Source organism: Homo sapiens, chromosome 18, assembly GCF_000001405.40.
Source record: "Homo sapiens chromosome 18, GRCh38.p14 Primary Assembly".
Taxonomy (NCBI): domain Eukaryota; kingdom Metazoa; phylum Chordata; class Mammalia; order Primates; family Hominidae; genus Homo; species Homo sapiens.
The window spans coordinates 62,258,283-62,281,560 of record NC_000018.10 but is presented as its reverse complement, the minus strand read 5'-3'; the positions used below and the strand labels follow the sequence as shown (position 1 = coordinate 62,281,560).

Sequence of the window (23,278 nt, the reverse complement as noted above, 5' to 3'; positions counted from 1 at the left end):
TATAGTTAGTGTTGCAAATAGAATCTAAAAAACTTGAAATTAGTTTCAGAATTAAAATACACCTTTAAGAAGGAAGACCTTGGTGGTCTCCTGAAACAGGCATGACAGAGGGTCTGCCCAGAGATCTACTCTGCAACAAGAGGATACCAGTCTACTAAATCACTTTTACAGCTTCATACCAATGACACAGTTATCAGAATACAAGTGCCCTCTTGCCTTCATTTATAACTGAGATACATTTGTGTTCCTAATGATGTTATCTGGGAAAACAGTCCTCAAATCTGTGCAACACTGGCAATCAAGAATTTATGTAGATTGGCCAGAAGCCTACCGGGTAATAGAAGGCTTTGGAACTAGACCTGATTTGAAGGATTATTCAAAACTGCAACATCCAGCTCAGCTTACAATAGAACATCTAGCAAGCTTGTCCAATACACCTTATTTTGTTGTTGTTCTGTTTTGTTTTGTTTAAGGCTTTTAGCAGCCTGAAGCCGGGGTTTTTAGTTTCTGTCTCTAGTGATAAGTAGAAAAGAGGGAAGAGGAAGGGGCTTTACTGGCCCAATCAGAAAGAGAAACTAAGAACCCATGACTATATTCTCTCCCTTGGACATCCCTGAAAGCTTGGCCTATACTTAATGTTCTGACTGAGAGGAAAGACTAGAGATTTCCTTAGGATATGGAAATATACCTTGGTTAGGCTACCATGTTTTCACAGTGAGATCCTCCTCTGGCCTGTAACTAACTAGGGCACAAAATAAAAGGTAAGATGCTCCCTGCAGCCTACCACCAGATACATGTATCATGACCACATCAATATTACACAGACATAAATAAATTTCAATTATTCCTACCTCTCTTTGAATTACTGTTTCCATAATAGTGCCAAAGGCTGGAATTGTGGCAATCCTGACAGAGCTGTTAGAATTAAAACAGAAAGAAACTGAAGATTTGAGATGAACAACGAGTATTATTAAAATGTATATTAAAGTAAGTACAAGGTAAATATACTGTATTAGTCTCTAGCAATGACAAATTAAATAAATTTAAAAAAAGCAGACCAAGAAGAATGCTCAAAAAGACAGACAGGATAACTTAAGGTCGCAGTCTGTGAAACTCACAATTCAGGATCACTGGACAAGGTAACAAGGGCCGGAGCAACCCGCTTGTCAACTAACGCTTCACTCATGCCTCGAAGAGTCAGCTGTAAACCAGTCAACATGCAATAAAAAATGGTTTGGTAAACTGGAATAAGAACTGGGTTAGCTGTGACTGAGGATGGGCAGGCAGACTCATTGGCCTTTCTTGGTTTAGTCATCCACACGAGACATTAAAATGTTAGGCCATTGGTTCATGCTACTACACTTACTGGTAACAACCTGTTAGTGAGATTAGGAGAGCATCCCTTCTTGGCTTGAAAGAAACAGTCCATCAGCATATTTTAGGTTCTGGAAGTATTTATTGAGCACTAATGTTACTAATATATTTTTTCAATACGTGGCCTCCAAATTACACTTATGGTGAGGGTTGATTTAAAAAGAACCATGATATATAAAGAATAATGTGATAAAGTTTAAAATCAAATAAGCATAATCCAGTATTATTAATTTAAAGAGATTCTTCAATAAATTTAAGAGCTGATGGTTATTTCTTGACAGGCACATTTTGAAAGGGATGCCGAATATAAAAGGCAGGGATGACACTTACATTTCAGGGTCACTGGAGAGAGTAATGAGAGCAGGAACAACCCTCTGAGCTACCAGAGTTTCATTCACCCCCTTCACCAACAGCTGATTGGTCAGCACAGGGGGTATTCACAGGTGATGCACGGAAAGAGCAAACACAGTGCGCCACGGGAAGAAGGAAGGAACAACCAAGAGAAAGAGAGAAAACACAAAAGCAAAACCAAAATTAGAAGCTAAGCAAATACTGCTGCTAGAGTGCTTTACAAAGGCAGAGAATGCTTAGGAGGAAAATAAAGCTTAAGTAGCCTAGCGTCCATGAAAACAGATTTTGTCACCAGTTTAACAGCAGTTTGTACTTTTGGTCAAAGAGTCTAAGCAATTTCAATGTCCATCAAAATGCAACTGAAAAGAATACTTTTTTAGCTTGTTTGACACATATTGTGCTCTATGGTTAAAATTCTCAAAGTAAGGGTGGTATGCTTTTATCATGACCAACAGGGTACAAACTGGGCTGTTTTTAAACCAAACTCACAGGAGTAGCAGTCACCACTAAACCACTTATTATTGTGCTATAGCAAGTGTATTTTAAAACCATATAGGACAATTCCTAATCTTTTAAATAATATAGCCTTCTCTTTTGAGGTACAGAGATATAAGGCTGCCTATTGGAAAGTATTACACTTGGGAATCAGATCTGGGTTCAGACGTCAGTTCTCCACATATAAGCCATGTGGTCTTAGATACATAGTATTTTCCATAACCTCTTGAAACGCAAGTTTTCTCATCTGAAAATGGTGATATTATTATCTACCTCAAAGGGCTGTTGTGCTATGAATTTGCAAATAACATACCTAAATACTGTGCCTGACAAACAGGCATTCAAGAAATGAGAGTTTAATTATTTTGATTACTGCAAGAATATATGATTTGTAATATGTTTGGAAGAAATGATCTAATTTAAAAAACTTCAGTTAATATCTAAATAGGTCTTTGTTTTAGATTTCTTATAAATTCAAATAAAATGTAAAATAAAAAAGATGAGTAGAACTAGATCTCTATAATCTAATCACAAAACAATTCATTTAGCAACCAATGCTAAATTGCAATACAAGAGAACAATACTGAGCCGTATACATTTTGTTTGATAAATATTACTGAATTTTATGAGTTCAACCGAGAAGGGCAATCCCCTTCTCAATTTCAGAATGTAAGCACATATTAATCCTAAATGCTCACCAATCTGTTTACCTAGTAGCTAGTACTTAGTCCTCACAGAAGATCAAAGATGTCACAGAATTTTTTGTAACAAAAATCTACCATTGTGTACATATGTGAAGGTATTCCTCCTATATAACACATCAGAGAAAGTAACTCACTTTATGTGAAGATTCTTAATTTTGCAATGATTTTTCACCATTTACCAATTGATTCATTTTAGAATCTACTTCAATATTCTGAAATAATTTTTATAAAAAAACAGATAATTAACCAGGAATAAAATGACAAAGAACTTTTAATATCTTAAACATTACAGATATTGGATAGAAAGAAATAGGACAAGGAAGTTCAAATATTGTTAAATAAAACTTTCTTCTCTGTATCATTTTATAAGTAAGATTGCTTAGATTTGAATCAGCATCTTGAAATTTCTGCTATCTTGAGTCTGTCAAAAGCATTAAAAAAGAGGTAATGTAGAGGACAAATTAATTTTTCATTGGTGTAGGGTTTTTAAGTTCAATTTCTTTATTAAGCTAGAAAATCACAAAGTACATTTAAGAGCTATCAATTGTTATACACTTTAACACAATATATCATTTGATCTTTTCACTTGATGAAGTAAGTACAAATATCATCAATATTTTAACAGATGAAGAAACTGAGGCTTCGGAAAGTAACTTGTCCAAGTCTAAGTTGCAGGGCCTGCAAAGGAACTCTGTCCCATCTGACTTAAAGTCCATGACCTCTTTGAGTTGTGCTCTAATGTTACATGTTCAATTTCCTTATGATTAAAATATATATGAAGCTCTTTTCTGCATCTTTTGGGAAATTTATTATAACATGATAAATTCCTCTTATAAAATAATTTTATTAATTTGCTACTTCAAAAAGTAATTTATATTCCCTTATTTAACAATGGGAATAATATGATTGATTGGGTTCCCTCTTTTTGTCCTGCTGTCTAAAAATTAAACTCAATTTATTAGTGAATTTCAGTGACCATACCCTATTAGGTTCCTGGTATATGTATGCCTCATTTTCTTCTCATTTCTCATTTTCTTTTCTTTCTGGTCTTACCTTTTAAAAAAAGAATGTGTTTTTTTTATGTTTTTATTTTGAATTAACTTTTTTAGGGTAAGCAGGCATAATTCTAAATTATAAAGCATCAGTATCAAAATAAATCTTATGACCCATTATTCTTTTAACACAATTTTGTTCAAATAAGAACCACTGACAAAAAAGGAACTTTAATTTCTCTTACTGATAACTTTTACTGACATGCTCATTGAAATGTATCATTAATGAATTTGAAAAACATTGAAATAGTCTCTCAAACAAGATCCAGAAGTTCATCAACAACCTGAGAGGACACTGAAAACTGCTTAAGCATAGATAGATATAGTTTCCAGACCAGCACTGACAGCAAACAGAGAAACCAAAACCAGACATAAGCCACGTATAATAAGGCAGAAAACCAAACAAAACAAGCAAAAAACCTCAAAACAAGTGAAAAGGGAGGATTCATTCTATTTACTTATTTTCATTTACATGGTTTGATTCACCAGTGCACACTCACATTTTAGAGATGAAAGATTTAAGAAAAAGAAATAGCTTTTATGAGCTTAGAATAAAATCATAGGAAGAGAGTATATTAAAGAAATAGCTCTTCATTTAAAAAGATACTTTTTTCTTTTTGGGGAGAGGAGAGACTGATGAATGACTTTTCTTTCATGGTAATGCCCCCTTTTCAGCATATCGAATAATCAAAACGATTTATATCCAGAAGGAACTTGTACTAGACATAAAACCAAATAGTGGCTTTGGCATTCATCATCACAAAAAACCTGATTACGGCTTTTTAAAAGTTGCTTCTGTATGATAACTGAGGGAATAACATGGATGGAGAATTTTCAACTTCCTGATAACAATGGAATTTTCTGGAATTCACAAATCTAATTTACGTATTTGAAAATTTTAGAAAGCATATATTTTAAATATATCAGTACCCCATCTCCAATTGCAATTTATCTTAAATTGTGGAGAAATTCTGATATTCGGCAAGATTTGAATTAACCAATTCTTTTTATAGAAATAAATGTTTAGGTATTTTAAGAAACACATGAATATTGGGGCAATTTTAGTTTGGATAAGTATATGTTCCCTATTACTATCATATATTTTGTGAAGTAATAGCATGGATGGAAAAAATAATGATAATGACAGTAAACATATAAGCACTTATTATGTTCCAGAGACTGTTTTAAGGGCTTTACAAGCATTAATTAGTTTAATATTAACAAAAATCCTTTGAGACTGATACTTTGAGACAGATACTTTTTGTTATCAACTTTCTTTTGTACATGAGGAAACTAAGGTACAGAGAGGCTCAACCTTGTCCAAGTAATTTACAAAGTCACTAGGTAGCAGAGATGGAAACTGAACCAAGGCAGCCTAGATTTATTGCAAGACTGGAAATCAATAAGAAACAGTAAACCAATTTTAGTGCTCAAATAAAGTTCTAAACCTCAACCTCACTGCTCCCCACCTACACACATACTAGGGCTATGACATAATTTGCTATATGATGGGTACAAAACATAGTTATTTCAATTTCATACTTAACTTGGGTAGGTAGCAATTTAGTACAATTTAGGTAAATTACCTGGTCTCCTCTCTTTTGCAACTCTATGGGCAGTTAATGTATTGGGATGTTATTCTACATATGAAATGTTAGGGAATAGTGACGTAGGAGTAACCAATAAAATAAACATTTCCATAATTTCAATAATTGATTTTCTAATGCTACTGATAAATTCAACTATATTTTACAACTTGAAAGATATCCTATGTTGTTTCAGTTTATTTACCTCAGTAAATCAAAAAGTATAGTCAGAAAGAGTTATATAAGTTAGAAATTAAAATAAGATTTAAAAGATAGTTTGAGAAATAAAAGTGATAATTGAATAACATTCAAGGAACCAGTAAGCTGAGAAAACATTTTTAAATATGTTAAAGCTAAATTTCTGCCCCATCACACAGTACACAACCAGACACTGTTCAAAGCCATAAAATATATATCAACATAACATGATATGCAAAGCCTTTTTATTAAAAAAAATTCCCTTCTTCTTCGCAAAAAAAAAAAAATCATTATAATTGAAACCAACAGAGGCATGTGTTGACATACCTCAAACATTCTAGCAGCAGTACACCTCACGAGTGCTGAAGTATGGACAACACCATACCACAAAACAGTTAATAGTAACTCATGGTAGGCTGGGTTTGCACTAGAAGAAAAAAAAAAAAACAGTGTTAAAATTGAGAGCCACAGTCCCTTACTAGTGAACTGAAAAACACGATATTTATAAGGAATATTAATGATAATAATATTTGCAGAACATATGGAATTACTTTGTTTGGTTACATAGGTTACAACTAAGATTCTCGGCTAGGCGCAGTGGCTCACGCCTGTAATCCCAGCACTTTGAGAGGATAAGGTGGGCAGATCACGAGGTCAAGAGATCGAGACCATCCTGGCCAACATGGTGAAACCCTGTCTCTACTAAAAACACAAAAATTAGCTGGGCATGGTGATGCGCACCTGTAGTCCCAGCTACTCAGGAGGCTGAGGCAGGAGAATTGCTTGAACGCAGGAGGCAGAGGTTGCAGTGAGCTGAGATCGCACCACTGCACTCTAGCCTGGTGACAGAGCGAGACTCCGTCTCAAAAAACATAGAAACAAACAACTAAGATTCTCCAAAAAAGATGTCACCTTCCTTATACAACCACAATCTTTTAGCATATTCAGAAATCACACTTGTAACTTCTCTAAGAATTCACAATTGTGACAGATAATTCCACTCTTTTTAATAGCATGCAAGTTAAAATTATGAAGAAACAAATTTCTCCATGAGGAAAAAGGAAAGATCACTGGACTAAGAGTCAAGTGGGTAAATTACAACTTCTGTGGGTCTTGGTTTCTGCATCTATAAAAATTGGGGAAGCAGTACATGTCCTATGTATGTCACATGGTTGTTGTAGAATCAAATAAAATCAACTCAAACCATCTATACGGAAGGGTATGTTGGCTGTGAAGCCTATGCAAATGAAAGGTGGTATTATTAACAAATGCATGAGTGTGTTTTCAGTAAAGACTGAGATAAAATTATTTTAGCAGCCAGATGATGTGATGATGAGCAGGACTAAGCAAATCAAACAGTGAAAACAGGAGCCAAACAAGCTGGCTTTCACTTGGGGCTCCTTTTTCAGTTCTGGGAAACTAAATTTTCTTCAAATCTGTACTTCATTTTATTTCTCCAACTGCTTCAAAGAAAACATATGTCTGCACCCTTTCCCCTACTTTTTAAATTACAATGTATTGATTATAAAATATTAAGAATGAACAAATAAGCAAAACCAAGAAACAAACTAAAATACACAAAAAAACCCTTAAGTTTCAAAACCAAGAGAATTGGTGTGCATGTCAACTCTTTTAGACTTAAAATATGTACTCTATAAATCCAATCTAAAAACTTTATATGCCTTTTAGCAAACTATAAGCTGTTATTTCTTACCCCAATTCCACAAAAGAAGCCTTCAGGCTATCAAGAGGAGCATGAGATAATGAAAGCAGCGTCATTACATCTTCTAAGAATCCAACTAACAGTTTTCGGTCTTCTTCCTACAGAGGAAAAATACTGATACTGAATTTCCAAACAATCAAGTAGAACTAAATACCATATTTACCTATCTATAATTAGAAAATGTTACCAAATAAGGGGAAAATATCCAAATTTGGAAGCTATTTTAATTAAAAGATATTTATTAAGCATATCTATCATCAGAATGGTATGAAGACAGACTATCTTGATACTTTAATTTAGACCTGTGGTCTAATATAGTAGTAGCCACTAGCCACATGTGGCTACTTATATTTAAATTTAAATAAGAAATTATGTAAAGTGAAAGATTCAGTTCCTCAGTCAAACTGGGTACAGTGCAAAGGCTTAATAGACACACGTGGCAAGTGCCTAGCTGATTGGACAACTCAGCTGTAAATTATTTCCGTCACTGTAAAAGTTTGGATGTTTGGTCCTGATTTAGAACATTAAAAAGTATAATCTTTTATTAAAATTTACCTTACGAATTTTTGTTCCCATAAATTTTGGCTCTATATAATACAAACTACTAGAATAGTTACCCCGTTGTAGAAAAAATAGTAGAAAATTGATTTCTAAGAAATTATCTTTGCAATATCCTAGTGGTGAAAACTGCACACTTAGTAAAATATAGACTACTGTGTTCTTTTAAGAAACAGATGCACACCTTGATTAAAAAATAATCTGTGTTTTTCAAACTTTTTTCAACGAACTATTATTACTTTCATAATCAGAAAATATGTTAGAAAAAGAAAACCCGCTAAATTAAGAGAGTAAAAAAAATAATGTTTTATGTTAAATTAACCTAAATGTATATGGGAAGGGAATCTGATAGTCTGTCAGAAAATAAATACATAATAAAGTCAAGTCAACATTAGGGACACAGAAGGTCAACAGTAAATAGCTTCTGAATGTATCAATAGATCATGAGGAAGACTGGATTACCACCTATCCTTTTTTTTTTTTGCTACATAATCAGGTTAGTTAAGAATGAAGTAGAGATAAGGATTGACAAAAGTAATGGTTAACATGAAAAAAGGGTGAATATAACAGTTTTAGGACACACAATTTAACTGACAAATCAGCATCAGGACAACGCTGGAATGGTGATTTCACCCATTTTTAGTTGCCTACTATTTCAAATATAAAATAGACATAACTTTGGAAAACAAGCTGAAAATCTGAGAAAAACCTAAATGTGAAATAAGAGCTATAAAATAAGACTTCTAAATAAGTATGAATTCTTTCGATTTTTAAAAATTTACTATAATCTTATTTATCATTTTTGGACTCTCAAAACAAGTAATACTGCTTATGTATTTGATTCAAGATAATTTTTGTTTAATGTAATTTACCCTAACAAAAATTTTTGTTTAGTGAGATAAACATTAACTGCTGGTATGTGCTTCCTAAAATAAGAAACACTGGCAATCTGTGATTGCTACCTCAATATGCTATTTATTTTGTAATAAGCTGAAAAGTTCTTATCTCTTTACAGATATGAATAACATATTTAGACTTCATAATGACTCAAAAGAAATGCCCCTTATTCATTTATTCAACAGATCTATTCTGAGGGCCTATTATGAGCCAAACCTTGTTCTTGGCATTTAATTATTATGATTTAAAATGTTATTTATGGTCAAAATAAAAATATTAACAAAACTTCAAGAGGGTAAAAAAGAGAGAGAATAAAATACTGACATCGCACATTATACAAGGACACTTTCCAAAGTTAGAGAATGGTAGGCATACTGTTGCGTCTAGCACTGTTAGGACTTAATATCTTTGATCTCCACAAATTTATGAACAATAGAGACAATTTATTAACATACATGACTTAAAATCTTTTACAAACAGAAAAGTATCCATATCAGGGTAGTATTAGAAACTAGTGTAGAAAAGAAAAATTTAAAAGGATACTGTGCCACTTTAACAGAGCTGTAACTTCTATTGCAAGGTAATATGTGATACTGTATAACTGTATTTTAATACTACAGGATGATTCAAATTTGTCTTGAAAGAAGAGTATAATAACTGCCACCAAAACAGATATATAGACCAATGGGACAGAACAGAGGCCTCAGAAATAACACCACACATCTACAACCATCTGATCTTTGACAAACCTGACAAAAACAAGAAATGGGGAAAGGATTCCCTATTTAATAAATGGTGCTGGGAAAACTGGCTAGCCATGTGTAGAAAGTGGAAACTGGATCCCTTCCTTACACCTTATACAAAAATTAAGTCAAGATGCATTAAACACTTAAACGTTAGACCTAAAACCATAAAAACCCTAGAAGAAAACCTAGGCAATACTATTCAGGACATAGGCATGGGCAAGGACTTCATGACTAAAACACCAAAAGCAGTGACAACAAAAGCCAAAATAGACAAATGGGATCTAATTAAACTAAAAAGCTTCTGCACAGCAAAAGAAACTACCATCAGAGTGAACAGGCAACCTACAGAATGGGATAAAATTTTTGCAATCTACTCATCTGACAAAGGGCTATTATCCAGAATCTACAAAGAACTCAAACAAATTTACAAGAAAAAAACAACCCCATCAAAAAGTGTGTGAAGCATATGAACAGACACTTCTCAAAAGAAGACATTTATGCAGCCAACAGACACATGAAAAATGCTCATCATCACTGGCCATCAGAGAAGTGCAAATCAAAACCACAATGAGATACCATCTCACACCAGTTAGAATGGCAATCATTAAAAAGTCAGGAAACAACAGGTGCTGGAGAGGATGTGGAAAAATAGGAACGCTTTTACACTGTTGGTGGGTCTGTAAACTAGTTCAACCATTGTGGAAGACAGTGTGGCAATTCCTCAAGGATCTAGAACTAGAAATACCATTTGACCCAACGATCCCATTACTGGGTATATACCCAAAGGATTATAAATCATACTACTATAAAGACACATGCACACGTATGTTTATTGCGGCACTATTCACAATAGCAAAGACTTGGAACCAACCCAAATGTCCATCAATGATAGATTGGATTAAGAAAATGTGGCACATATACACCATGGATGCAGCTGGAAACCATCATTCTGAGCAAACTATCACAAGGACAGAAAACCAAACACCACATGTTCTCACTCATAGGTGGGAATTGAACAATGAGAACACTTGGACACAAGGCGGGGAACATCACACCCCGAGGCCTGTTGTGGGGTGGGGGGCAGGGGGAGGAACAGCTTTAGGAGAAATACCTAATGTAAATGACAAGTTAAGGGGTGCAGCAAACCAACATGGCACATGTATACCGATGTAACGAACTTGAACGTTGTGCACATGTACCCTAGAACTTAAAGTATAATAATAAAAATAAAAAAAAGAAAGAAGAGTACAATAAATATGAATTGCTGTACTTTGAATTTAAAGAGCAAAATAAATAAGTTAGTAGTGGGTAAAAATTCAGGAAACCATTGGAAAAGGTGTTTCTTCTTCATTCTTACATTCTAACTTCTAAAAGTGCTTTATCCCGAGTCAGTATTTCCACCTTACTGGTGGGACTGCCTCATACTTAAAAATTACTACTATGCTTTGAGACACATCATATGTTATTTACTTAAAACAATGTTAAGTAGAGTGTGGCAGCCTGTTACATTGGTGGCCACCACTGAACCACACCTCCTGGTTCACACCCTGGCTTACTTCCCTACTTTTGCTTGAATCTGAGCTGTGCCTGTGACTTATTTAGCAAGGGACTGCAGTAGAAACCATGTTGTGCTAATTCCAGGCCTAAGCCTTAGCCTAGCAGATTCTGCCTTTTCATTCTTGGGAGGCGTTAGCCACTATGTGATAAGTCTGGCTCTGCTGCTTCAGAAGCCATGTGGAGACAGAGAGAGGTCCTGAGACTTATGTAGAGACCTCTTCAGCTAACCCACTTACTGCAGCAACAGAAGTGACCACCAGCAAAAACAGCAGAAGAGGAGAAAGCTGAGTGAGGCCCAGATTGCAGAATCATGAGCAAATGAAACAGTTATAATAGACCATTATGTTTTGGGGTAGTTTGTTATGCAGTAACAATTAAGAAAAATAAAGTACAGGTTAAGCATCCCTAATCTGAAAATCCAGAATGCTCTAAAATTTGAAACTTTGTGAGTACCAAACTGATACTGTGTGTGAAAGCCTGTCATCATTTGCTGTGGCTGTTGTTCAACAGATGATACAGGTATTCTGGTGATGCTACTGTGCTTTGTTACCCTGAGCACATTATTTTTTCGCTGTATTGATGATATGTCATATTTTCTTATTGTTAAGTACTTACATGTGAAAAAGTATAAGAAAATGATTGCTTATTGGTAGCATATAAATGCAAAGTCAGGAATGATGATCGTGATGCCAACCAACCAGATTGTCCACATAGGTGGCTGAGACAGCAACTCCTTTGCTTTCTGATGGTTCAATGTACACAAACTGTTTCATGCACAAAATTATTTAAAATATTGTATAAAATTACCTTCAGGCTATGTGTATAATGTGTATATGAAACACATTTTGTGTTTAGACTTGGGTCCCATTCCCAAGATATCTCATTATGTATATGCAAATACTCCTTTATCTGAAAAAAAAAATCCAAAATCTGAAAACACTTTCATCCTAAGCATTTGAGATAAGGGATACTCAACCTGCCTTATTAAAAAGTACTTAGCTAAAAATGTTGATAAGGTATAGTGTTCTACAGTGCTTTGTAGCTTAGTTCACCTAACGTATGTGTTCTGCTTATCATTTATCTATGAAAAACTTATCATGGAACACAAAGAAACTCTGCTAAGTAAGTACAATCTAACACTTCTAACAAAATATCAAAAAGCTCATAATCTCTAAATTTATTTGTTCAACTGAGGTTTTACTCAGGCCCTTATTATTCAAATATGCTATCCATTATAAATTATTTATTGAATAAAATAAGTAAATTGTTTTTCTTTATTGGTAGCAATGTCACTTACATTAAGAAGACACAATACTAGGCATTTTTCTAAATGGAAAGCCTTTTACTAGAGAGTAAGAATTTTTCCCTTACCTGAATATAACACGTAAGGACTCCTGTTGCATAAATGGGGACTGTAGCTTTAGTGAGGACCCCATTTCCTGCTGAGGAATCTAAAATTATTAAAATAATTTAAAAAAACATAAGTATATTTTAAGTGTAAAGAAAAAAATCATAATGCGATTATATTTAAAATTACAACTGTTTACTAGGTTACAAGTAAGTATTATCATTACTTTGGAAAACATATGTTTATTGGTGGTTGTAAAATACAACTTAGTGTTTCCTGAAGAGCCACTAGCATAAACATTTCTGATAAATGGCAAAGAATTTTAATAACCCAAATGAGATGGTATACTCTTGATTTCCATAATTGGAAATCAGAACTTTCTTCTTGAAAGTCTTCTAAGCGTCCCTATAGGCAGGTTGTCCAAAATTTTTATGCTTTCAATTTGCAGTTTACTAAAATGTAAACACACTCACCTAAAAGCACATAGATATATGTTATTTGATCTATTTCTAGATATGAGGTAGTTTTCAGTACTAGCCTGAGTTCCTGAGCCCCTCCTGCATCCTCAGTAGGGTTTTCAGCCAGACAGAGCCCTGATTATTTTCATGGAGGGGGAAGGAATCATGCTAAGTAAAGCAGAGAAAAAGGGGAAAGTATGCAACCATAGTTCTGTGCCCTGTAACTGCTTTGTAAGAGATTTTCTTATACACCCTCTGTGGACAATTTCAAAAGAAAAGTTGTGAGAGGACAATTATCATTCACAGCACCAACAGCTTTTATTTACTGATCATGAGGCACTGTTTTAAGTGCTTTAGTTTGCTGTTATATTCCCAAGAATAGTTTTTTACTATACTATACTTATTTTTTATATGGCTTTAAATTATTTTCTGAGGGTACTACATAAAGAAATTGAGTTGAAAAGATTTATTTAACTGCCCTGAAGAAATTTTGCAAAAAAGACAGTTCCATTTTCACATTAATTAGTATTTGAGGTTTGTTTATTCTCTTGGTGAGAGTACCTTTTTTGGGGAGGGAGTGTGGATGTTAATGTTAGAACATAAGCTTAAAGTATATTCATAGATTATTACAGGGGTTGATAATCACTTCCTATTTATTTCAACAGCTAAACATTCATGGCTAACTAATAATTCCAAAAGCTGTCAGTTTTTAAAATATTTACCTTTTTTCTTCACTAATTTATCACAAGAATTAATAATAAACATATATTACCAACAATTTAGGCATTATAAAATCAATCCTTTAAAAAGACATTAAAAATAAACATTAGGAGTTATTTGTCCACCGCCCCCACACCCCAAATCTCTTCAATGTCTTCAGGCTTAAAAGAATTAATTTATTCATTTTCTGACTACTTCTGAGGACTGCCAAAAATGGTGTTTTCTAGACCATTCAACTCAAACCACTAAGGTGTGTGTATATATATATATGTATACACACACACACACACACACACACACACACACACATATATACCTAGACTATATATATATTCTATACACACACACACACACACACATACATATATACCTAGACTATATATATATTCTATATATAGAGAGATATATATTCAAAATCAACCAAATTAAAAATGGGGGTGGGGGTGCTACACATGTTCCACAGTTTATTCCTAGAAACTAGAAAAATACATAGGGACACAAGATCCATACATAAACAAGTCCTTAGGCCAATGGTACCATAACTAGACTCGTTAAAGTAGATGAGTGAAAACTATCAATGAAGTAGCTGGAGCTACCCATTCAAGTCTGTAGTTTCTCTCATGTTTCATTTTGAAAACATATATGCTTATATACCGTTCTTTTCCACTATGTTTAATTTTTAAAAGTATTATAGAACTAATTAGGAATTAGATGCAGCTTATTTTATAATTGTCAGTCTCTTGAATATACTACTTCAGACCTCTAAAGGTTGAGTACCCAGGTTGTAAAGCTCAGCCTTATATCAATTTGGTTACAATGAAGGTATATATTCACAATCAGATTGACAGGGATTAATCTCACTGCCACTAATGGGAAGGATATTAGATGTGACACAGTTATAAAACCAAGAACTCCATAATATAAGTTTTCCTTTTCAATTGTAGTTGCTAGTTCATTTATACAATTTACATATATGGAGAATATAGTATTTTTCCTGCATAAAGAAATGCAATTGTTTTTAAAAGTAATAATGAACAAACTCACCAATGTTTTCTTCAGATAGTCTTAAAATCTCCTGGAACTGAGGTTTTACCTAAGCAACCCAAAGAGAAGATTCAAAAAGTCTCAGGTTCAATGGGCAAATTGATTAAATGAAATGTTTACTACTGTTGCTACTACTATTCATTTATTTATTTAGCTTTATAGATGACTAAGTTAAGTGGTCAGAAATGTAATAATTCTTAATCATGAGGCTTAGGATAGAAGAGTCAAATTAATGAAAATAAAAACTTTAAGGATAAATTTTTGAAAAAATCAACTCAAGTCAACAAGTGAATGGCCTCTGGTTTCTTTTATTAAATTAAAATAATTTCCAATATGATTTTAAGTGGTTGAAATTACTGCCTTCTAAAACTGAACTTGGTTATAGAAGGATTATTTAGGTAGATATTACATGGTTAGAATTATCGAAAAAAGCATTTGCCTGTATTTTTAAAAAACGAAAAGGAAATTCCAGTCACTTCAGGTGTTTAGTAAGTAACATATTCATCCTGTGATATTTATGTTCATCTTTTATTACAACTTTTCAAATTGAAATATGAAATACAGAATTTAACTTTAATATGTTAAGTTAGAACAGAGGTTTGTTTAAATTTTTTATTATTAAAATTATCACAGATTTCAGGCCACTGAAGACAACCACTTACTGTTAAGTACATAAGTAGATTCCTACTTGCTTTTCTAAAAAAAAAAATAGCTACTTGTTTTGGAGATATCAAACAATTTTTGCCAATATTGATAACAGGAAAATCAAATTATATTTGTTTAACAACTGAATGCTAGTGAAAAATACAAAATAATTTTAATTTTCTTTTTCCTACAATAACATCAAGGTCTGGTTTTTGCCCTCCTCTCTGTAGGTGAGGCACATTAATTTATATATTTAGCTTAAACTGAGAGAAAGGCCAATGTTAAAAGGTTCATGTACTGAATTGCGCTAAGAGAATTAAAAGACACTGAAGCAAATTCTTCATTTCACACATGAAAAGACTAAGCCCACATAATTTAACTTAAATAGTAAAGATCATAAACATTAGTCAACAGATAATAGGACCATAACCCAAGTCTTCTGAATTTTGTCCAGTTCCTTATAGCATACTATTTACTTTAAATGTTTCAACTATAGATTTAATAGTAAAGAGCTACACTAAATTAAATTTAATAATTAAAATGCTTACCTTTTAAATGTGTTTATTAACATTTGATTATAGAAACTACACCTTTTTATGTTTTTATTAGCTCTCTAAAGTACTGGCTTAACAAAATGTTATGAAGACAAATGGATTAATAGGATTAATGAATAAATTAGGATCTAATGACATTCCAATGTTAATATTTGAAACTACAAAATAACCTGGATAGGCAAATGTGACAAATGATACTTTTGGTAATGACTGAAACATGTAGAATTTATCTCCAGTGTCCATGCTATTCTAAGAGGTGGCATCTTCGCAGCAAGTTTTATATATAAGTTGCTGTGGTTCCATAATCGCTTGAGGTTTTTACCAAAGTGTGCTGAGCAAACAGCTGCTTCCTGAACCTGTGATAGACAGTAAGTACCAGCAGCACATTCAAAGGATTGTGGTTGAGTTCCCTAGCTGACACTTCCTATATTGAAAATCTTTGAGGATATCTACAATGAGTAAAGCTTATATCCAAGTCTGGATATGAACTAAGCTTAGGCTAAATCATCTTCTGAAAATCAGTAAAGATAAGAATATTACCAACTAGAACTTTTTTTTACTATCATAGTATTCTAGGATATTAAAGAAGCGAATTAGATAAAAGAATGGTTCATGCTTTTATTTACCCTGTTACAGTGTTAACACATTACATTTCTATGTCTTTTTCATATAAGAAAACATGGAATACAAGTTTTTACCTTAGTGTTTGTAAAAATTTTGCCAAATGTCCGGCAAAGGCGCCAGAAAAATCTGGAGAATTCATGGACACAGGCAGTTGAAGTAACATTAATTTTGCCAACTATTTCTATAAGTTGTGGCAACCTGAATATGAAAGGAAAGAAAAATAGGCAGGGGATACATATAAATTACTGTTTCCTTGCCAATTTCTGAAACAATGCAAATCTAATAACCTGTTCTATTTCGTTCTTTGAAAGGAAAGGCATTGTCTGGGACCCTCTGAATAGGTTGTAAGATTACATTATACTGTATAGACTTAAAAAAGTAAATTTTAACTGTTTGCCAGAAAATATATGAAACCTTAATGGTAGAATTCCGAGTACAGAGTTAATGTGACTCAAATCTATGGATCTGATGCTTCACACAAGAGCTTGGCTTTACATGGCATCATTTTAGCCTCAAAAATGAGAAGTCTAGATGTAGTTTAAAATCCATCACCACGATTGGACAAACAAGATGGCAGATAGATCATTCGGATAAAATACAGCAACATCTTCTTCTCAGATAAATTACATATCCAATGGTGTGAATCCTCTGTGTCCTAAAGGTGTTTACCAAAAATGATGCCGAGTTACATTTTAAAAGTTTTGTTATATTTTGTTCTTAGGGCCAAGGCTAAATATAAGAGTTATCATCTATTCAAATTAATATGGAGGTGGTAACTTACAATTGATTGACAACCCACAGTAAACTCTCCCAGCCTGTTGTACCCTCTTGTTCTAGCTGGTAGTCATAAAGTTGCAGCAGCACTGCCAATTGCTCACGACTTCCGATAATAGTGGACACATCTTGAAGAGGCGACATAGGCCGAGGAAACCTAGTCACTACACATAAAAGAAGCAAAATAAATCATATGGAAATTGGCATTTTGGGAACTTAGATATTCTGTTGAAAGGAAAATAAGGTCCTTTCTCCTCATATTTAATTACTTTCTTATTGTAAATTTTAAATATAAAATTGAAATACACTAATTAAGTCATTTTTAGGAAAATCAAGAAATTCCTGTGATATGAGAACAAATCCAACAAATCTCAAAAGATTTTATTCCCACAGCAGAATGTAAGCTCTATGAGCAGAAATTTTTATCTATTTTATTCATGATTGTGTCCTAAGTGTCTAAAACAATGCCTGACATAAATATTTGTTCATGTTGTGTAATAAATTGGTACTAAAAATATTTGTGTGGGTTACCATTTTTATGAGAAAACAAATCTTCATTCATAACAAATTATAACCCAAATTTTATGTGTGTGTATATATAAACGGACATATAGACATATGGATATACCCTAAATAAGGATATAATAAATCCTTATTTATAATAAATACATTATAACCTAAATGAAGGTATAGTAACATTAACATTTATAGCTACTGTTAAAAGTCAGAAAGTTAAACTAAGTCAACAAGAATGAAAAATAAAGGACAATCACAAGAAAAGGTCACATAAATGTTAGAAGGGAATCCCATAAGTATTAGAAGGATATGTTCAGGATGATACTGTTCTATCTAATCTCCAGCATATGCTTGGCAATAGATGACATTTAAGAATCATTTGTTAAATAAATGAGAGAATGATAACAAGTATTATGAGTTGAACTGCCCCCCGCCCAAATTTTTATGTTTAAGTCCTAACCTATAGTATCTCAGAATGGGATCTTATTTGGAAATAGGGTTGCTGTAGATGTAGTTAGACAAGATGAAATCATACTGAAGTAGTCGCTTATCCAACACAACCGATGTCCTTATAAGAAGGGAAAATCTGGACACAGAAACAAGCACACAGAAAGTGTGCCACGTGAAGATAAAGGCAAGGTTTGGGGTGATGCATCTAAAAGCCAAGAAACACTAAAGAGTGCCAGCAAACCACCAGAAGCCAGGGGAGAGCCCAGAACAGCCTTTACCTCGCAGTTTCCCTAAGACTACCCTGCCAACACCTTGATCTCAGACTTCTAAAATTCAGAAGTGTGAGATAATAAATTTCTGTTGTTTAAGCCACTCAGTTGGTGGTCCTTTGTTAAGGCAGCCATAGTAAACGAATACAGAAAGCTAAAAAGAAAAAGGGAATTAGAAAGATAGGAAAATCCCTAGGCAGATGAAATGCCTAAATGAGTAAGAGTAAAGGGGTAGAACCTGAAGTGGCCAGCTGGGAGAGCTTTATGAAGTCTTATCTAAAGTCTGAATTTTCATTCTCCTCAATTTAAAAATGTTAAATTAACTCCACACCATTCATTCTCAATTTTCCAAATAAAACTGACATCCAAATAGTATACACTATTTTTATCATGTGGCTTCATGTATCTTTGGACACACTGCATCATACTCCAAATATTATAGGTAGCCTACAGTTTACATGAAAAATGAAATTCAAGAAGATTGTCTGTTGATGTTCTCAATGTTATAATTCTTTGTCCATTAGACACCAGTAAGAGACATGGATAATTTCACAACTCTGAAAAGGCTGCAAAGGTGCCTGATACATAGCAATAGCTTGTCTATAGCCATTTGTCCTGGACGTTAAGGTGCAACAGGGTTATCAATTGCCTGTCAAGTTTCAAAGGTCATTTACTAGCTACTCGGAGAGTAAGATAAGAAAATACTGGCCTCTCCTGTCAATTTTATGTACTTCTGAAAGTAAGTCACATTTCTTCTTTGGAAAAACACAAATTCTGCCACAGATGCTTTTATATTTCTTTCTATCAAGGACATAGTAGAAAAAAGTAATTATATTTACCTTCCTCTATTAAAAATAAAATTAAAAAGTTGGGGAAGAAAATATAAAGAAAGCAGAAATGACAAGCTTCATATACTGGCACTAGTAACTATTAAAAGAATCTTTTGTTGACTCAGATCTATTAACGGAAGGAAATATTTATTTCAGCCTCCCCAGAAAGGCTATAAAAAGGCTATAGATTAAGAGCAACAAGAAAGTATAAGTATTATAAAATAAGACAATGGGGCTTATCCATAAAAGATGAAGCCATATTGTTTACCATACGTATAATCTTATGACCATGAGATTCTACACACATAATACATTTTAAAAATTATGCTGTCATATAAAGTGATTTTTAGACTTTTAATAAAAAACAATTCTTTGGGAAGCTAGGCTGCTAATATTCTACATTTTTCTTCCAGAATTTAAGTTCAGTACCTTCTATCTGTGGCACTTCACCATGAAGCTTGGCTTTGCTGGAGAAAGGTGCATTCTGTAGCACTAATGCAAAGAGAGATGGGATCAAGGACTGCAAGGCAGAAAGATACATGTGGAGTTTGTGTTCATCCAGTCCATGTTCTCCTTCCTGAAACATAAGGAGGTGGAAGCTAATTTTAGTCTTTTGAAGTTACATTGCTAATTGGATTTATGTATGATGTTCTTCCTTACTGTGGCAAATCAAAGATTTAAGGACCTTTATGTTGGACTCAAACAAGCAGTAAGGCACTCTAGAGTGGTAGAATCTTTTACATGGAAAACTATAGGGTAAACATCAGTCATTTCCATTTGTAGGGAATAGTTTTTGTAATTTTACTTTTTCATTAGAGAAGGTCTTATCTTTTGAAATTTTATAAGACAGGGTAAAGAAATTAAAGTAAGGGACAGGAATCACTTTATCTTTTTTCTTGTTAGAATTGATACATAAATAATTGTACATATTACGGGGTACCATGAGATATTTTGATACAGGCATACAATGTGTAATGATTGAATCAAGGTATTGAGATATGCATCACCTCGAACGTGTATCATTTCTTTGTGTTAGGAACATTCCAAATTTTCTCTTCTAGCTATTTTTCAAATATATAACACATTATTGTTAACTATGGTCACCCTACTGTGCTATCAAACACTAGAATGTATTTCTTCTATCTAACTGTATTTTTCTGTTCATTACTCCCCCAGACCCCAGCTTCTGGTCCATTTCATTCTTTACCTCCTTGAGATCAACTGTTTAAGCTCCCACATGTGAGTGAGAACATTCAATATTTGTCTTTCTGTGCCTGGTTTATTTCACTTAACATAATGTCCTCTAGGCTACCTGCTGCAGCAAACGACAGGATAGCATTCTTTTTTTAATGGCTGAATAATATTCCATTGTTTATATATACCATATTTTCTTTATCTATTCATCTACTGATGGACACTTAGGTTGATTCTATATCCTGACTATTATGAATAGTGCTGTAAGAAATATGTGAGTGCTTGAAACTCAACATGTAAGTCCTTGAAAGTATATATCTTTTCAATATACTGACTTCCTTTCTTTTAGATATATACCCAGTGGTGGGATTGGTGGATTACAGGTATTTCTGTTTTTAGTTTTGTGAGGAACTTCCACACTGTTTTCCATAGTGGCTGTACTAATTTACATTCCTACCAACAGTGTACGAAGGTTCCCCTTTCTCCACACCTTGACCAGCATCTTTTTTTTTTTTTTTGTCTTTTTAATAATAGTCATTTCAACTGGGGTGACATGATACTTCATTTTGGTTTAGATTTGCATTTACCTGATGATTAGTGATGTTAAACACTTCTTCATATAACTTTTGGCCATATGTCTTCTTTTGAGAAGTGTTTATTCAGATCATTTGCCCATTCCTTAATTGGATTTTTTTTTTTTGCTGTTGAGTTGTTTGAATCCTTACATATTTTGGTTATTAATCCCTTGTTGGATGGAGAGTTTGCAAATATTTTCTCCCATTCTGTAGGCTGTTTGTTCACTCTGCTGATTCCTTTGCTGCGCGGAAGCTTTTTACTTTAATATAATCCCATTTGTCTATTTTTGCTTTGTTGCCTATGCTTTTGAGATCTTTCTTCAAAAATCTTTGCTCAGACCAACGTACTGAAACAATGTTTTCTTTTAGTAGTTTCATGTCTTACATTTAAGTCTTTAATCCATTTTCAGTTGACTTACTGAAGAAACTGTCCTTTCCTCAATATATGTTCTTGGTGCCTTTGTCAAAAATGAGCTGGCTGTAAATGTGTGAATTTATTTCTGGGTTCTCTACTCTATTACACTGGTCAATATGTCTGTTTTATGCCAATACCAAGATGTTTGGTTACTACTGCTTTGAAGTATATTTTGAAGTCAGATAGTGCACTTTTTCCAGATTTGTTCTTTTTGCTCAGGCTTGCTTTGGTTATTCAGGGTCTTTTGTGGTTCCACATGAATTTTCAGATTGCTTTTTCTATATCTTAAAGAATGTCCTCCATATTTTGATAGGGATTGCAATGAATCTGTAGATCACTTTGGGTAGTATACACATTTTTAACAATATTAATTCTTCTATGAACAACTAAATATGGATATCTTTTTTTTTTAACATTTCCTCTTCAATTTCTTTCATCAGTGTTTTATAGTTTTCATGGCAGAGATCCTTCATCTCTTTGGTTATATATATTCCTAAGCATTTTTTATAAAACTATTGTAAATGTGATTGCTTTCTTGATTTTTTTTTTAGCTTATTCACTGTTGGCATATAGAAATGCTCAAACGCTAACCCAGCAGCATTTCATGCTATAATACTTCCCCTCTCCTACTTCCTATCTCTTTTTATAGATTTGGCACATAATATGCACTACACAAATAATAATTTCTCTTCTAGTCTCTAAAAGAAACTTTTAATACAAAAATTAGATCAAGAAGTTTCTATTGTTCCATCAACATTTCTTTAATTCTTGTATGTGGGAAAAATTAAAAGTTCATTTTAAAAATGAGAAATGAACTACTGGAGTGGAATAACCACAGTTAAAGCAATTTTGACACTATGTAAGAAAGCTTTAGAGACTCATTTTCTCTGCATTCTGGAACTAGAGTTGATGGTTTGTGTAAAATATTTAAGTACTCAGAAGGGTCAAGAAAGAGCTGGCTTTCTGAATAATGTAGGAGTTACTTCCATGAAGGTGCATTTCAGTTAACAAATGCACATCATGCCCTTTCTCTTCCTCCAGCTTCAGCAAAGCAAAACTTCCTCAAATCTCTTTCTTGGCTCCAGTCCAACAGCATCTTTAACTGGTAATGTATTAGTATGTTAAGCTAAGGGCACTTTCTGTCTCTGTTCTCTAACATTGTTCCAAGATGGCTTAGGACAGACCTTTTAAGTTTCTACAAACTATATAAACAAAAGAAGAACTTACCCTGAGAAGTTTTTCAATCTTGTTCAGTAGTGTAAGTATAAGATGAGACTGTAAATTTCCAAGTTCTGTAGTCCACGCAGCGTAAGCTGGTAAAAATACTTGATGTGTAGCACTAACTACTCTTTCTGAGGGATCACCCAAGGCTGACAGCAACAATTCAAAACCCTGTCAATGAGAAAAAGGCAAATGTAGATTTTTAAAGGGATAAACTTAAAATAAAACACTTAATAAAAAGTAATAAAAATTTCAATAAATTAAGAACATATTTTTAAGCAAGAAAGAAGGCCATCCATAATCCTAGCCTTGCCATGTATCCACTGATGAGCAAACCAAAGAGAGGGAGTGGTAAACATAGAATACCTCTTGCCAATTTCCTGCCAGAAAGCTGTGGCAG

The 23,278-nt window shown here is 33.4% G+C and overlaps 1 protein-coding gene across 30 annotated transcripts in view; it reads right to left on the bottom strand.

Annotated features, from left to right (window-relative positions):
• The window catches only part of RELCH (RAB11 binding and LisH domain, coiled-coil and HEAT repeat containing), a 122,995-nt gene that overhangs the window by 28,689 nt on the left and 71,028 nt on the right, over nucleotides 1-23,278 (bottom strand). For 13 of the 30 annotated variants that reach the window (NR_144403.2, NR_144406.2, NR_144405.2 and 10 more), the window contains 10 exons: nucleotides 22,885-23,049; nucleotides 19,903-20,050; nucleotides 17,416-17,572; nucleotides 16,709-16,832; nucleotides 14,812-14,860; nucleotides 12,613-12,692; nucleotides 7,475-7,581; nucleotides 6,088-6,187; nucleotides 1,705-1,787; nucleotides 852-915 (listed from right to left, as the gene is read on the bottom strand). Coding sequence is in view for 20 of the 30 variants with exons in the window: in NM_001346235.2 (NP_001333164.1) it covers nucleotides 852-915; nucleotides 1,705-1,787; nucleotides 6,088-6,187; nucleotides 7,475-7,581; nucleotides 12,613-12,692; nucleotides 14,812-14,860; nucleotides 16,709-16,832; nucleotides 17,416-17,572; nucleotides 19,903-20,050; nucleotides 22,885-23,049 (1,077 nt within the window). In the remaining 10 variants the exon portion in view is untranslated. Of the gene's footprint in view, nucleotides 1-851; nucleotides 916-1,118; nucleotides 1,202-1,436; nucleotides 1,788-3,402; nucleotides 3,978-6,087; nucleotides 6,188-7,474; nucleotides 7,582-12,048; nucleotides 12,151-12,612; nucleotides 12,693-14,811; nucleotides 14,861-16,708; nucleotides 16,833-17,415; nucleotides 17,573-19,902; nucleotides 20,051-22,884; nucleotides 23,050-23,278 lie in introns of those variants that run through there. The other 17 variants (XM_011526111.3, XM_047437685.1, NM_020854.4 and 14 more) reach the window with 9 other exon arrangements.